This window comes from Homo sapiens, chromosome 9, assembly GCF_000001405.40.
Source record: "Homo sapiens chromosome 9, GRCh38.p14 Primary Assembly".
In the NCBI taxonomy this organism is placed as follows: domain Eukaryota; kingdom Metazoa; phylum Chordata; class Mammalia; order Primates; family Hominidae; genus Homo; species Homo sapiens.
In genome coordinates, this window is record NC_000009.12 from 125,329,927 (window position 1) to 125,347,287 (window position 17,361).

Consider the following 17,361-nt stretch of genomic DNA (forward strand, 5'->3'; position numbering starts at 1 on the left):
CTGCCTCAGCCTCCCAAAGTGCTGGGATTACAGGTGTGAGCCACCGCGCCCAGCCAGGAGATTTTGTTAGCTAGTGTTTGGCTTTTCTCCACTATCACTGCACTTTCCTCCAGGATCTTTGTTAACCCTTTGCTTCCCACTGGTTATACAGGTGCTGCAGCAGAGAACATGTTAGGCAGTTTGCTGTGCCTCCCAGGTTCAGGGTCAGTGCTTCTTGACCCCTGCACTGGTTCTACCATATCAGAGACAACAAGTGAAGCTTGGAGTGTAGAGGTATTGCCAAGTGACTCAGGTTAGTATGCTGTCATTGTTTGCTTTTTCATTTATACAGAAGTTTTAATTAAATGCAAGGTATCCCAACTCTGTATTATGTATATTTTGTCAAATACACTTTTTTTTTTTTTTTAATGGAGATGGAGTCTTGCTCTTTTACCCAGGCTGGAGTGCTGTGGCGCGATCCCAACTTACTGCAACCTCTGCCTCCTGGGTTCAAGCAGTCTTCTCGCCTCAGCCTCCTGAGTAGCTGGGATTACAGACATGCCCCACCATGCCGGGTAATTTTTGTATTTTTAGAGAAACAGGGTTTCACCATGTTGGCCAGGCTGGTCTTGAACTACTGACCTCAGGTGATCTGCCCACCTTGGCCTCCCGAAGTGCTGGAATTACAGGCATGAGCCATCATGCCCAGCCAGTTATACATTTGACAAAGATGAGGTGATCACATTGCTAAGAATGTCAAATGGAAAATTAGTTTAGGGCATTTTCTGTCCATTAAGGGAAAATGCTCTGTTAGATAGCATAGACTGTGATGGCAGGTGCTTTCAGACTCTGTGTTGAGTTATTTTGAAAGCAATTTTCTGTGATTATCAGAGTCCGTGTGAATCATTGAATTTAGTATCTTCCACAAACTCATGACAGGATAAGAGTAGCAACACAGTTCAAACTGAGTGCTTGCTTGGTAAACACATTTAGATTTATCACAGGGGAGAACTTGACTCTCTAAAACATGCTTAATGTGTTTTTGAAATACGTTGAAATTGAGATTCTGTAATCCTGAGGATTTTTTTTTTGTGCAGGTTATTATAAATGTATATAAAGTGTTTTGTACTTTGTCTTTTCATATGCATTGCATTTTTTTCTGATTATGAAGACGCATCTTTGCTTTCAACTAAATGTCAACTACCAGAATGTAAATATAAGTAACTGTGTATCTGCATTACATTCTGTTGATTTACTTGGTTCAAGAATTATTAAGTGATCCTGATATGTGTTTTATAATTTTTTTTTTTTTTGAGATGGAGTCTCACTCTGTCACCCAGGCTGGAGTGCAGTGGTGCAATCACGGCTCAGTGCAATCTCTGCCTCCTGGGTTCAAGTGATTCTTTTGCCTCAGCCTCCCAAGTAGCTGGGATTACAGGCACCTGCCACCACGCCTAGCTAGTTTTTGTATTTTTAGTAGAGATGGGATTTCACCGTGTTGGGCATGCTGGTCTCGAACTCCTGACCTCAGGTGATCTGCCGGCCTCGACCTCCCAAAGTGCTGGGATTACAGGTGTGAGCTACCACGGCTGGCCTGTTTTATAATGTTAAAGCATTCAGATATGCTAGCCTTGTTTGAAGACCAGTTGGGGACAATAGGATTAGCTTACCAGCTGTTGAGTATTCATAGGAGTTACTTTTTAGGAAGTGGTTGATTTAATACCAGGCTATTCCATACTCTCTTGTCCAGTTCACATGTTAATCAATAGCATACTCTGTGACATTAGTGATCTAGAACCACGTTTTCATCTGTGCACAGTGAACTGGCTTATATTGGGATGAAAATCACAACTTTGACTTAACACTTAATCTAACTAGCATTAACTAGTCCAGACTTACACATGTATTTGCACTGATTTTATTCATGCCCTGGTAGCTTTGTTTATCTGGGTCACAAAAGCTGAAATTGTGGTGTGCTAAGAGAATCACAAATGTAACATACCTCTTATCTTCTATTTAGAGGCCCCAGACCTAAAGCAGGAGGAGCGTCTGCAAGAACTGGAGAGCTGTTCTGGACTGGGTAGCACATCTGATGATACGGATGTCAGGGAGGTCAGTTCCCGCCCCAGCACACCAGGCCTCAGTGTTGTGTCCGGTATGTCTGTCTTGTTTTAAGGAGTAGGGATTTGAAGGTGTTCACCCCCTACCCCCTCCTATTTATAAAGTTGATACAAAAAGATATGTTATATTTAAGAGCTGAGTAATTTCCAGAAAACAAACTTATTTCCATTGCACCTGAAATCTTTGAGAACTTAATGTGTGGCCTTATGGAGCCTGTTGAAGTAATTGGCAAACAGTCTCTCTACAACTGTTTCTGTTCTTAGTAGCCTGTCCTACTTTAGAATTGTACGATTCTGATTATGTTGTGTAAAGCAAGGTAAGTATATTTAAGCAGTAGTACCATAAAGGATATAATACTAAACTCACATGTATAGAACTGGGACACAAAATTCGAGAATGTTTCAGTTTCTCCAAATTTCATATACTTTTTGTGTGGATATTTTGTTCTTCTTCCTGTTTATTTTTTACTATTGTTTTTTAAAGGCATAAGTGCAACCTCTGAGGATATTCCCAATAAGATTGAAGACCTGAGATCTGAGTGCAGCTCTGATTTTGGGGGTAAAGATTCTGTCACTAGTCCAGACATGGATGAAATAACTCACGGTAAGAGGGGGAAATGAGGATGACTTAAAAAATGACCACATCCGTGGTTGAAACTGGCACTGTGACACATTGCTGGTGACAGCATCTGTTGGTATAGCACTTTGGGACATACTTTGTCAGTATCTATTTAAGGTCTTAAATGTTCACATTCTAAATTTAGTCAGGTTAGTTCCACTTCTAGGTGTCAGTCATAATGAAAAAATTCCATGTGTAGAGAAAGTCCTTAGCACGAAGATGTTCTTTATAATGTTTTGTATTGGCAGAAAACTAGAAATAACTTAAAAAATTGAAAAGTGGAATGGCTAAATAATTTTGATGTAACTGCTTATTGGAATTTATGTAGCTATTTTAAAATGCATTAAGGAATATGAAATGACTTAGAGAAAAAACTAGAACATACTACATGGAATTTATTTTGTAGAACTTTACACACAAAATAATAAAACTTCTGTTTTTTTTTTGAGACGGAGTCTTGTGCTGTCACCCAGGCTGGAGTGCTGTGGCACGATCTTGGCTCACTGCACTTCCGCCTCCTGGGTCTGCTGGGTTCAAGCCATTCTCCTGCCTCAGCCTCCCCAGTAGCTTGGATTACAGGCACCCACCACCACGCCCAGCTAATTTTTCTATTTTTAGTAGATACGGGGGTTTCATCACATTGGCCAGGCTGGTCTCGAACTCCTGACCTCGTGATCCACCTGCCTCGGCCTCCCAAAGTGCTGGGAGTACAGGTGTGAGCCACCGCACCCGGCCAGTAAAACATTTTTTAAAAACCTATGCAAGAAGTAAGTACTGGAAATACCAAAATGCTAGCAGTGGTTTTATATATTGGGTGTTAGGTTTTGAGGTACCTTTTGTCTTTTTTTTTTTTTTTTTTTTGAGACAGAGTTTTGCTCTTGTTGCCCAGGCTGGAGTGCAATGGCGCAATCTCGGCTCACCACAACCTCTGTCTCCCAGGTTCAAATGATTCTCCTGCCTCAGCCTCCCAAGTAGCTGGGATTACAGGCATGTGCCACCACGCCCAGCTAATTTTGTATTTTTAGTAGAGACAGGGTTTCTCCATGTTGGTCAGGCTGGTCTGGAACCCCCAACCTCAGGTGATCTGCCCGCCTCGGCCTCCCAAAGTGCTGGGATTACAGGCATGAGCCACCGCGCTCTGCGAGGTACTTTTTCTATTTTTACAATTTTTTTTTGTTCTAAACCAGGGTTTTTTAACCTTAACACCATTGACATTTTGGGCTGGGAAATTCTTTGTTGTGGGGGCCTGTCCTGTGCATTTTAGGAGGTTTAAGCAGCTCTGGCCCCTACCAGTAGTATATGCCCTTTACCCCCTGGGGTTGTGACAACGAAAAATGTCTCTAGACATTGCCAAATGCTCTCTTGGGGGACAAAATAGCCACCAATCAAGAACCACTGTTCTAAACCAGCAGTCTCAAAGCATGGTCTCCATGGACCACTGAGGTCCTAAGACCCTTTGAGGGAGGAGTGTAGATGAAGTCACAACTGTTTTCATAAAAATCAAAGTTAACTGTCCATTTTCACCGTGTCGACATTTGTACTTACGGTGCATAGGCAAAGTGGATAAAATTTGCTGGGGCCCTAGCAGGATGCAAGGGCACCACACTGTATTCTTCACTCACAGTTAAAAAAAAAAAAAAAAAAAAAAGTTTTACTTAGGAATGTCTTTGATGAAGGAATAAAAATTACTTAATCACATCTCAACCCTTGAGTATACACCTTTTTAATATTCTGTGTGAAGAAATAGGAAGCACCCATATTGCGTTTTCACCGCATTCTGAGATATGATGAGATGTCTCAAGAAGCACTTATGGATTATTTGAGTTGTTAGCTGAACTAGCCAATGTTTCTCCTTATTTTTATTTGGTTTTTCATGAAATATTATTTTTACTTGGAAGAATGACAGATAAACTGTATTTCTTATGAATACGTAATTGGGTATTTGGCAGACATCTCAAAAATTAACAAAGTGTGGCCAGGTGCGTTGGCTCACACCTGTGATCCCAGCACTTCGAGAGGCTGAGGCTGGAGGAGTCCTTGAGCCCAGGAGTTCGACATCATCCTGGGCAACATGGTGAGACCTCGTCTCTACAAAAATAAAAAAATAAAAAAATTAGCCAGGTGTGGTGGCGCATGCCTGTGGTCCCATCTTTAAAAAAAAAAAAATTAACAAAATGATCCTGTTTCTTAGAGAAGCAACTAATAGAGTGGAGTTTGTTGCCAGTGATGAAATTCAAACTTTTGGACAAAAATTAGAATTTTGGAAACGTGTGTCTACCTGCATGAGCTTGACAGCTTTCTGTTGTTTAAAGACTTTTCTGGTGAGATTGGTGGTGATATGAAAAATGTGAATTTAGCAGAGGACAAAAAGTTCATTGATTTGGTTTCAAATTCTACCTTGTAGCTATCCTTTAAAAAACTATACTTCTCAAGATGTGGTAGAGTATCAAAGAATAATATCCACAATTTTCTGAAAAGGCTACTAACATATTGTTCCTTTTCCAACTACATGTCCGTGTGAGGCCAGATTTTCTTTATATACTTCAGCCAAAACAACATTTTCAACACATTGAAGCAGAAGCAGACATGAGAATCCAGCTGTCTTCTAGTAAGCTGTACATTAAAAATACTTGCAAAAAATGTGTCATTCTCTTCATTTTTTATTTTGGAAAATAATAGTTATTTATTTATTTATTTTTAATGCTTTTTTGTGTTACCATTAAAATTTTTTCTTTTTTTTTTTAAAAATGGGGCTGGGCGCGGTGGCTCACGCCCATAATCCCAGCACTTTGGGAGGCCGAGGCAGGCGGATTACGAGGTCAGGAGATCGAGACCATCCTGGCCAACATGGTGAAACCCCATCTCTACTAAAAATACAAAAAATTAGCTGGGTGTGGTGGCGTGTGCCTGTAATGCCAGCTACTCGGGAGGCTGAGGCAGGAGAATCGCTTGAACCCAGGAGGTGGAGGTTGCAGTGAGCTGAGATCACACCACTGCACTCCACCCTGGTGACAGAGTGAGACTCTGTCTCAAAAAAGCAAAAAATGGACAGCCTCCCAAACCAGAGTAGGTTCAGAGAGACTCTTGTATTACCATTTAATGGGTATATTTAAATGAATTAATAAATATTTAAACTTCAGTTTTCTAATATAGAATATCAATAGATATAACCACCATAAACAAAAGCTATTAGGGTCAGTAATTTTTTAAGTTGTAAAGATATCTTGGCCAGGCATGGTAGCTCATGCCTGTAATCCCAGCACTTTGAGAGGCAGAGGCAGGAGGAGTGCTTGAGCCTAGGAGTTCAAGACCAGCCTGGGCAACATGGTGAGACCCTGTCTCTACAAAAAATAACATAAAAATTAGCTGGGTGTGGTGTGCTCACAGCTATTTGGGAGGCTAAGGCAGGAGGATCACTCGAGCCCAAGAGATTGAGGCTGCAGTGAGCTATGTTTGCACCACTGCACTCCAGCCAGGGTGACAGAGCAAGACTTTGTCTCCAAAAAAAAAAAAAAAAGCCTGAGACCAAAATTTGAGAACTGCTGTTTTAGTCCATCTTTTATAATGATCTAACTATAGAACAAAAGTAAAAATCAAAAGGCATAATAGTACTCTCATTCATTATCAAAAGATATAGCTTGAGACCAAAAAAAAAAAAAAACAAAAAACAAAAAATAGCTTCAGACTAAAAACATTTAGATTAATAATTTTTTTATGTTTGAAATTTCCATCCTCTGCATACTTATCTATTTTAAAGTTATTTGCTGAGAGCAGTGTTAGAACTTCAAGATTTACAGCCTTTTATTTGTACGCTGTCTGTACAGAGTATTGCCCCTATGTTTATAATTTATTTATTTTTTAATTTTTAGTTCTTGTAAATTTTTGTAGAGACCAGGTCTCACCATCTTGCCCAGACTGGTCTTGAACTCCTGGGCTCAAGCGGTCCTCCCTCCTTGGCCTCCCAAAGCACTGGGATTAAAGGCATGAGCCCCTACACCTGGCCTGCCCCCTATATTTTCAGGTGAGGGGAAGGCGAGGCTCAGGGAAGCTGTGACATTCTCAAAACATTGATGGTTTAGGTCTTCCGGCTTTGTTCTCTTTGCATGAACCATACTAGCATTTGGCCATTAGAAGTAACAGGCATGTAGATGCCAGACCACTTAAATGTAAAGAAAATCTGTGTATGAAGATACTCATAAAAACAGAAAATGAATTGGAAGTAATCATAATTTGATTTTTTTTTTCTGGTATGCCTCTCAAGTTCTAATGGATCAAAAAAGGAACCGTCAAAGAATACTTAAAACCCTTTAAACTGTGTTGAGACCGTCTGTCCTGCGTCCTGGCTTGGTCTCACAGTTTCCCTCCTGTTTTAGGTGCCCACCAGCTGACCTCTCCTCCTTCTCAGTCAGAGTCTCTGCTGGCCATGTTTGATCCACTGTCTTCACATGAAGGTAAACCAGTGAAATGAACTTTTTCACTTATGTCACAGACAGGAGGAGGAAACCAAATCCCCTTGTTAATGCCTTTGTTAGATATGTTGTGTCTCAGTTACAAAACTTTTTTTCCTGTGTTGCAGGGGCTTCTGCTGTGGTAAGGCCAAAGGTTCACTATGCTAGGCCATCGCATCCACCACCAGATCCCCCAATCCTGGAAGGAGCTGTGGGAGGAAATGAGGCCAGGTTGCCAAACTTTGGTTCCCATGTTTTAACTCCAGCTGAAATGGAGGCATTCAAGCAAAGGCATTCTTACCCTGAGAGACTAGTTCGAAGCAGGAGCTCTGATATAGTATCTTCTGTCCGGAGACCCATGAGTGACCCCAGCTGGAACCGGCGTCCAGGAAATGAAGAGCGAGAACTCCCTCCAGCTGCAGCCATTGGTGCTACTTCTTTGGTGGCTGCACCTCATTCATCATCTTCATCCCCGAGTAAGGACTCCTCAAGAGGAGAGGTATGGGACATAGGCCGTGAAAAAGAATTATGTTCTGCCTGCCTAGTTCTCTTGATATCTGAAATTAACATGGAATATATAAATCTAGGATTACAGATAGAGAGTAGTCATGATTAAAGATGATTTGTCAATCTATGGGCCCACAACCATAACCGCAGGAAACCTGTACAACTTTGGTTTTGTAGTGATACTATCTTGCATTTTTATGACACTTTTAGTTTCTCTAAGCAATTTTGTATCTGATTTTATTTAAACCTTACAATATCTTTCTGAGATGTTAGATGAGTTGTTTTTTGTTTTTTGAGATGGAGTCACACTCTGTTGCCCAGGCTAGAGTACAGTGGTGCAATCTTGGCTTACTGCTACCTCCGCCTCCCAGGTTCAAGCGATTCCTCTGCCTCAGCCTCCTGAGTAGGTGGGACTACAGGCATGCGCCACCACACCCGGCTAATTTTTTGCATTTTATTAGAGACGGGGTTTCACCATGTTGGCCAGGATGGTTTTGATCTCCTGACCTTGTGATCCGCCTGCCTTGGCCTCCCAGAGTTGCTGGGATTACAGGCATGAGCCACCGCACCTGGCCCCATGAGTATTTTTTATTTTAAACAATTTTAAAGTTACAAACAAGTTGGAAGTACAATAAAAGAACACTCCCTCCCCATTTGTGAGCAAGTTGCCAACCTGATGCTCCAGTACCCCTAAACACTTCAGTGTAAGTTTCCTACAAACAAGCAGATTCTCCTACACCTCATGGTACAGCCATCAGCTTCAGCAGATGAACATTGATACATTACTACCAGTTACTTATCACACCCCATTCATGTGTCCCAGTTGTCCCTGTAACATTTTTTATAGTAAAAAGGTTCTATTCAGAATCACAGACTGCTTTTAGTTGTCATGCCTTTTTAGTCTCCTTCAGTCTAGAACAGTTCCTCAGTTTTTTCTTGACTCATATGACCTGGACGCTCTTGAAATTTACAGGCCATTTGTTTTCTCGAATGTTCCTCAGGTTAGGTTGTTTGATGTTTTCTTGTGATTAGACTGAGGTTATTCATCTTTGGCAGGAATATCACTGAAATGACACTTTTTTTCATTGCACTTTGTCAGGTAGCACAGTTTTAATTTGTCCCATTTCTACAGTGTTCATTTGGATAATTTGAGGAAATGTTGTCTTCCAGGCTTTGCCACTGTAAAGTTACTCTTTTACCTTTATAATTAATAAGTATTTAGGGGGAGAGGGTACTTTAAAAATATGTAACTATCTGTTCTCCATCAAATTTTTAACTTACCTACTTATTATATCTGTGGTCTCATGGTTTTCTGTCTTTTAAAAAAATTTGTGTGTGTGTGTGTGTGTGTGTGTGTGTATATATATTTTTTGTTGTTGTTGTGGTTTGTTTGTTTGTTTTAGATAGGGTCTTGTTTTATCACCCATGCTGGAGTGCAGTGGTGCCAACACTGCTCATTGCAGCCTTAACCTCCCAGGCTCAGGCAATCCTCCCGCTTTGGCCTCCCAAGTAGTTGGGAGTATAGGCATGCACCACATGCCTGGCTAATTTTTTCGTTTGTTTGTTTTTGTAGAGATGGGGACTCACTGTGTTGCCCAGGTGCTTATCTTGAACTCTTGGGCTCAAACAGTCCTCCCACCCCAGCCTCCCAAGTGTTGGGATTACAGGCGTGAGCCACCCACAGTGCCTGGCCCAGTTTTCTGTCTTGGTTAGGGTTTGTCACTATTACTTATTTTGAAGCCCAGTTGTCCCTAATTGGGCCAATGAGAGCCCCTTCAGGCTGGCTCCTGAGTTCTTTTGATGCACTGCTACTATTCTTTGAGCATATCTTTACTTTCTGGCAAAAGATGTTATAGGCGGATACTGTACTTTGTCCTAGTTAGCTCTTTCTCGAAGTACCCTTATTTCTTTTAATGAAAAATGCTTTTTTGGAAATTGAGATCTGGATACAGTGTTTATTTGCTGTAGGAGTGTTGCTGCTCCCAGGACTACTCAGTGAATAGAGCTAGGGAGTGTGTGTGTTACACACACATTTACCTGTATATTTCATTTATCTACCTTTCTCCATAAATAAGACCATGAACTTACACTGACACATTCAATTCTAGTCCAAACACAACAGAGTTTGTTTCGTCTTTCTTCCTTTCCAAATTTGTAACTCATTTCTCCAACAGTGAGAAATCTACTTTCACTATTCTTCATGGGCATATTTATTCCATCAGTTCTCCTGTATGTATTCAATTTCTCATCCCCACTGTTAAGTTAACTCTTCCCTGGCACAGATGCCCTCATCTCTCTGCTAGGGTTCTGATAATTCTTTATCCCAGGTATGTAGATGAAAATGGAAATTAAGTGATTTGTCCATGGTCACATGATAGGCTATTAAAGGAATTACAGTCCCTGTCCTTTGGCCTGTTTTTTGTTTGTTTGTTTGTTTTTGAGATGGAGTCTCACTCTGTCGCCCAGGCTGGAGTGCAGTGGTGCGATCTCGGGTCACCGCAACCTCCACCTCCCGGGTTCAAGTGATTCTCCTGCCTCAGCCTCCCAAGTTGCTGGGATTATAGGCGAGCACCACCACGCCCGGCCAATTTTTGTATTTTTAGTAGAGATGAGGTTTCACCTTGTTGGCCGGGCTGTTCTTGAGCTCCTGACTTCAGGTGATCCACCCACCTCGGCCTTCCAAAGTGCTGGGATTACAGGCGTGAGCCACTGCATCCAGCTTCTTTGTCATGTGTTAATGATAACTTAATATAATTGGTGATCAAAACATGAACTTTAAAGTTGCTTAGGTCTAGGTTTGAGTCCTCAGCTGTGCCACATATAGGCTGTGTAACTTTGAGGAAGAGGGGGAGGTAACCTTTCTTTAGTCTCATATTTTTTATCGATAAAAAAGGCCGAATATAGGACCTATCTCTGAGGTTACTGTAAAGATTAAATGAGATTATACATATCCTTACTATGCTCAGCATTTGGCACATAGTACACATTTGGTTTTATTATTATTAATACTACTGCTACCATCTCTACTGCCCTTCTGGAGTTTATTTGTACTGCATTTACTTTTTTCATAAGTATTTATTGAGTGCCTAGTCTATACCAGGCTCTGTATTAAGGCTTCAGTTTATTAACAGTAATGAGATAGTGCCTGCCCTCAAGCAGATGACAGTGGTGCTGAAAAGGTAAACTACCGTGCTCCAAAAGTCACCTACGTGGCAATAAGAGTTGTGCCTTAAGGCAAACAAGACTGACTTTCTTATTTCACAAACTTACTTAAATCCTTTTTAGCCTGAGCAACATAGTAAGACCCTGTCCCTACAAAATAAAAATAAAAAATTAGCTGGGCATGGTGGTGTGTACACCTGTGGTCCTAGCTACTTGGGAGGCTGATACGGGGAGGATCGCTTGAGCCAGGGAAGTCGAGGCTGCAGTGAGCTGTGATTGTGCTACTGCACTCCAGCCTGGGCAACAGAATGAGATCCTATCTCAAAACAAAACAAAAACAAACAAAAAGAAATCCTTTTCTTAGTAATTTATCCTGCTATCCAACTCCAAATAAAGCCTCCAACTTTTTCTACAGACTGAAGAACGCAAAGATAGCGATGATGAGAAATCAGACAGGAACAGACCTTGGTGGAGAAAACGTTTTGTTTCAGCCATGCCTAAAGGTAATTTTATAAAATATTAGAACGCTGTATTAGCAATAAGAAGCAAAGCCCCAGAATCTCTTTCAGAGAGCCAATGTCTCAACTCCTCTGTAAGACTTGCTGGGCTTAAGTTTCTAGCTACTTTGAGGGTGTAGAAAGTGGTTCCACTCAGATGAATGCTAAGGCAGAGCTTTAGAAATGTTCTTGTTCTTTGCAGGAAGTGATAGTGGTTTCATAAATGGAAGTCATGCCTGTCACTATTGTTTAAATATCATATACCATTGAAGTTAAACATATAGAGGACTTCTGACATATATATTGCTATTAATTATTGCAGGAAAATGGGACGTTATTGGTAATTAAACATTGAAAACTCATCCTTTACATTCCTGGAATAAGTTGAAGCTTTTTATGTCTATGTTCATTGAGAATGTTTATACTGTAAATATCAGTGAGTGTTTATTTTGGAAGGTAGCTGTATAAAATTGTTTACTTTTTTGGTGAACAGCCTGGCATCATTTGAGTTGGCAAAAGCATCTCTTCCTGAAAGAAGAGAGCATCCAGGAGTAAAGCTAGAAACTTATTCCAAAGGCCTCTTCTCAGCACGGTGGCACTCAGGAACTCTGGGGAGAGCTGCTTTCACGCCATACTCAAGCGCTTGATGAGGAGGAGAGAATGAAGCTAGGAGTTTTGAATGTGTTTTTGAGCAGAGGTTAAGAGTCAGTGGTTTTGATTTTAGTCCCAATGGATTCCTGTTAAATTATTCTTCCTATGACAGATGACTCCGAAGCAGGTTCTGAAAGTTCCTTTAAAAACCTTCATTACTATTTTAAGGACAATTATCAGTCAACACTTGGAATTTCTTAGCTTTTAAACTTTTCAGCCTCCTTTCACTTAGAAATGTTGGCACACCAGTTAACTTCCGAGTAGTGCAGTATGTTATATGTCACACTACTGACTTTATTTAATTTCCAGCTCCTATACCATTTAGAAAGAAAGAAAAACAAGAAAAAGACAAAGATGATCTGGGGCCTGACAGATTCTCAACACTCACAGGTTTGTAGACCCATGGACTTCCTGGCTCCTTCATTCCCAGAGCACATATTTCATAACACTTTTTCTTGGGTGCCATAAGCGTTGCCTTTCTAGAAGAGTGTGTCTGTGTGTACAGTGGGGAGTATGTTCTTCATAGCTCTGTGGTTTCCAGTTGGTGGCCACAGTAAACCTGTGTGCTCTTCCTGCAGACTGCCACCACCATCATCATCCTCATTATCATAACTCCGTTTATGATGAGGCCCCTGATCCTGAGCCTCTAGGCATACCCTACAACTCAACATCTAGTGGGATGATGACACACAGTGCCTTTTAGGAAAGTGTGGTGACAGTTTTGGTGCTGTGCATGCTGTATCTTTGGATCATTGATTGAATAGTTTTCTCTAACATTGATCGTAGAATTCTACATTTATTTTCATCTACAGTTTGTTCTTGATTATTCAGGATCACAGTGAAATTCTGTTTTACCTAATCGTTTCCTTTTTTGTGATAAAGTGTTTGTTCAAACAGTATCATAAATGCCAACCATTATAATGAAAGTTTTAAAAACTTTACTAATTTTTTACAGCTTGAACCATTTTAACATTGCCATCTGACCCAAGGAAAATACAGCTGGGGGTTGGGTTTTTACCTGATTAAGCGTTTGTATTTCTGCAGCTGCTTTTTGGCACATTATGAATGAGCACCCTAAAAGGACAGTTTGAGAGTAGTGTTAATGACCCAGTCTTGGGTTTGATAGCTGTGTATTGTTTCCAGTGGCTATTATAGAGCATCTTGAGCAAGTTTGTTCAACCCACGGACCGCAGACCACAGGCAGCCCAAGACAGCAGGACAGCTTCGAATGCAGCCCAACACAAGTTCATAAACTTAAAACAGTATGAGATTTATGCAGGAACCCTTTTTTTTTTTTTTTAAGCTCATCAGCTATCATTAGTGTTAGTGTATTTTATGTGTGGCCCAAGACAATTCTTCTTCTTCCAGTGTGGCCCAGGGAAGCTAAAAGATTGAACACCCCTGGTCTAGAGGAAAGTTCATTTCTCACCTCTTTTTTTTGATTTTGAATTGTTTTCCTACTAAGTTAAAGTGAAAATTTTTTTCATTAAACAATTTTATTTAAAAATGGGATAGATAATAGGATAAGAACATCCTCATCAAAGAGTTCAGCATTACAGGTAGAATCCCATTTTAATGCCTATTATTCTAATGGTTGGTTCCATATATTTATATGTATTTCCATATCCTAGCATATAAGTCCTTGCTTTATTTGAAATGGTGATTTCCCCAGAATAAAGGGTTTTGAACAGCAGGAGATGTGCTTACAGGCCACAGTTCCCTGCTGAGAGCAGCTAAGCCTGTCCTATTCAATCAGTAAATACTTGTTGACCATGTGACTCATGCCAGGCACTGTGCTAAGTGTTGTGGGTATTAAGTCAAATCACACATGACTCTTCAGGACCTTCCAGTCTGATTGGGAAGAGCTGGAAAGACATTGTCCTTTTGGCAAAGTATTTCTGTATCCTTACGACATGTTCCTAATGTTAGAAGAACACTAGCGTTTACAAAGTGAATTACTCTTAATGACATCTCATGTTTTTAAAATGTTGAATCAACAATTCTGAAGAAGTTATAAATTATTATTATGGTTTGTTTGTTTGAAGGAGTTATATTTTACTTATCCTCTTTAGGCAATATATTTTTCTTGGTTCTTGATACTGGAACTAGAAGCTAAGTAGAGTAGAATAAGTCTTTTTCATAAAGTAATTTATTTTCTTTGGCTGTGATTCAAGCAGATTAGCTTCCTTACTGGTCCAGAAATTTCTACCCAGTCCTTATTAATGACTCATTGAAAGTTTTCATTAAACCAATTTAAAAATGTTATAGGAGGAAATTTCCTAGCAGTCTGTTCATAATTCTGTGACCCTAACTACTGTTCTTTTCCTGTTATCTCCTAATCTTTTTCCATATTTGTACGTGGCTTTTTCTTGACTGAATTAGATTATGCATGTGACTTTGTATTCTTCTTTTACCAAGTTATTTTATAAAACCTCCCCCAATTTTTAGACATAGTTGGGTTTTATATCATTTTTATTAGCTATAAAATAATCTGTCATGGTTTTACTGCAGTGTAAACGTTCTCTTACTAATGGCTATTTAAATTGTTCCCAATTTTTTATTATGAAAATATTACAGATTTATATAAATTGCATTTTTTGTTTAATTATTCTCTGGGGGTAAAATTTTTAAGAACAGTGTTAATAGAAATAAAGATTATAAGCAACATTGTGGCTCTCACTGTGTTTGGCCATAATGTATTGTATTGTCCCTTTTTCAGACCTCTCAACAGCACTGAAAAGTAATAACCAACTGAGTGAGGTGGAGCATGCCTATTATCCCAGCTCTTTTTGGGAGGCCAAAGTGAGAGGATTGCTGGAGGCCAAGAGTTTGGGGTTACATTAAGCTATGTGCCACTGCACTCCAGCCTGGGTGACAGAGCAAGACCTTGTTTCTATTAAAAAAAAAAAAAAAGGCAGTAGCCACAACGTACTTCCCCTTCAAAACAAGATTCTGTAATGATAAATGCTTTATCAGTTTACATTTGGAGACAGATCAGATTTTATTAAGAATCTCTTATGAATTCAAATACTGTTATAGCAAAAATACTAAATTACTTTGGGAATCCTGTCTATATACAATTGTCCTTCAGCATACTCAGGGAATTGGTTCCAGGACTCTTGCCCCCCCACTTCATACCCTAATCCGTGCATACTGGAGTCCTGCAGTTGGCCCTGTGGAAACTGTGTATGTGAAAAGTTGGCCTTCCCTATATGCTTGTTTCACAGCTCTGTGTGAAATGTAGTGTTTTCTTTTTCTTTTCTCTCTCTCTTTTTTTTTTTTTTCTTTTGAGACAGTATCTTGCCCTGCTGCCCAGGATGGAGTGCAGTGGCGCGATCTCAGCTCACTGCAATCTCTATCTCCTGGGTTCAAGTGATTCTTCTGCCTCAGCCTCCCGAGTAGCTGGGATTATAGGCATGCGCCACCATGTCCAGCTAATTTTTGTATTTTTAGTAGAGTTGGGGTTTCGCCATGTTGGCCAGGCTGGTCTCGAACTCCTGACCGTGGGTGATCTGCCCGCATCGGCCTCCAAAGTGCTAGGATTACAGGCGTGAGCCACCGTGCCCAGCCTAATACAGTATCTTCAATCTGCATTTGATTGCAAAAAACTGTGTATAAATGGACCTGTGCAGTTCAAACCCATGTTGTTCAAGGGTCAACTGCAGTTTACTACAATTTCACGGAGACATGAATACCATGTGTTTGTTTCATGAGAACAAAAGAAGAGCCGATGAGCATGCTACTTAAGCTGTCTATGTCTTGATTTCGTCTTCTGTAAAATGAGGATGATAACAACGTTTCTCTGTAAGGTTGTTTGATCAGTAGTTGAGATAATCTCTGTAAGGTACTTAGCACAGTTCCTGGCATGTGGTAAGTGCTCAATAAATGTTAGCTGCTATTAGCTGCTGGAAACACAACACACACACACAAAATACGTATATGTATATATACACATAAGTGTGTGTGTGTGTGTGTATATATATATATAAAATCTAGTGATTTCGATGTGTTTGTATAATTTTTAGAAAATGGGATTCTACCAGAATGTGAACATTTATGGTCACCTGCCTGGCCTAGGACTAACCCAGGAGTTTGTGTTTCACTATGGAACTTTGTCCTGTAGATCTATAGCAATCCCTTGCTTTAACAACCCAGTTGACTACTATTTTAGATTCCAGGATAATATTTTTGATGTGCTGATTTTGACAGAGTAATGGTCCTGTCAGTAAACAGTGCTGCATTTGTGATTGTGGTACGTTTTTTCTCTATGCATCTCAGGTACAATTCCAGCACTCCCCAAGAATGTCTAGATTCTCTAGGAGTGCCTCTGACATCATTGCATGCACAAAAGTGCTCTATTCCAGCAGCAGCACTGTCATGGTGAGATCTAGTGAGATAGAATATGAATATTGTTAGTTTTCAAATGCGTGGAGAGAGATTCATAAAGGAAGAATGGAAAAAGACATTTGTTATTATTTAAAGGGGTTTAAGTCTAAATTTGAATAGTTTTTTTTCCTCCTTCAGCATAGAGATGTCTGAATAAATGAAGTCTGCATGTAAAAATGCACTGTTGGAAGTTCTGTTAGCATGAATTGCTGATAACAGTGATTTGAGTGCAAACACTTTAGAAATCCGTCATCCATTCAGTCTGCCCTGAACTTTGACACTGTCATTCTGGTGATGATGAGAAGGTGGAGCTACTCTTCCCAATTTCCTGCTTTGGCAAGGCTCTCAGACCTAGAAATGGGATGAGTAGGCAGCTGCATGGTGCCTCTTAACATTGAGATATGTGCTCTTTTTAAGTCTTACCTCCTAATCTGCCTTTGGGATTATGCTACTGGTGTCATACTAACATCAGAGGTGGTACAAACCCAAGGGGCTAATTCTCTCACTCTCCTTTCCCTTGCAGATGATCCCAGCCCTAGACTCAGTGCACAAGCTCAGGTGGCTGAGGATATTCTGGACAAATACAGGAATGCCATTAAACGGACCAGCCCCAGTGATGGAGCAATGGCAAACTATGAAAGTACAGGTGATAATCATGACAGAGATTTGAGTAGTAAACTTTTATATCATAGTGATAAAGGTAATCTGAATTTAAGTGGCCTTTAAAAGAAAGAATAGCTAAGGGAGTCAGTTTACTACCTCAAAATTACAGACTGCCTAAACAAATGTTTAAATTGATGTCCTTCTCTGGATTCTCCCACTAGCCCTGGGTACCCCTGAATGTTCAAATGCCTTAGAGTTGTCCTCCTTTGCATCTGGGGTGACTGGCCCACAGAGAGTTGGGGCATATTTTAATGGGAGGAGGTTCTTTTTCAATGTCTACAGCTTTGTAATTTTATCCAGTTATGCACTCTCAATATAGCTGTGGGAGC

At 40.2% G+C, this 17,361-nt stretch overlaps 1 protein-coding gene across 56 annotated transcripts in view; it reads left to right on the top strand.

Annotated features, from left to right (window-relative positions):
• GAPVD1 (GTPase activating protein and VPS9 domains 1) overlaps positions 1 to 17,361 on the top strand; it is a 105,382-nt gene that overhangs the window by 68,101 nt on the left and 19,920 nt on the right. For 19 of the 56 annotated variants that reach the window (XM_047423193.1, XM_047423200.1, XM_047423189.1 and 16 more), the window contains 8 exons: positions 152 to 292; positions 2,000 to 2,134; positions 2,584 to 2,703; positions 7,092 to 7,169; positions 7,295 to 7,665; positions 11,251 to 11,338; positions 12,293 to 12,373; positions 16,893 to 17,015. In XM_047423193.1, the coding sequence (XP_047279149.1) occupies positions 152 to 292; positions 2,000 to 2,134; positions 2,584 to 2,703; positions 7,092 to 7,169; positions 7,295 to 7,665; positions 11,251 to 11,338; positions 12,293 to 12,373; positions 16,893 to 17,015 (1,137 nt within the window). Of the gene's footprint in view, positions 1 to 151; positions 293 to 1,999; positions 2,135 to 2,583; positions 2,704 to 5,245; positions 5,327 to 7,091; positions 7,170 to 7,294; positions 7,666 to 11,250; positions 11,339 to 12,292; positions 12,374 to 16,892; positions 17,070 to 17,361 lie in introns of all 56 variants that reach the window. The other 37 variants (XM_047423183.1, XM_047423182.1, XM_047423180.1 and 34 more) reach the window with 6 other exon arrangements.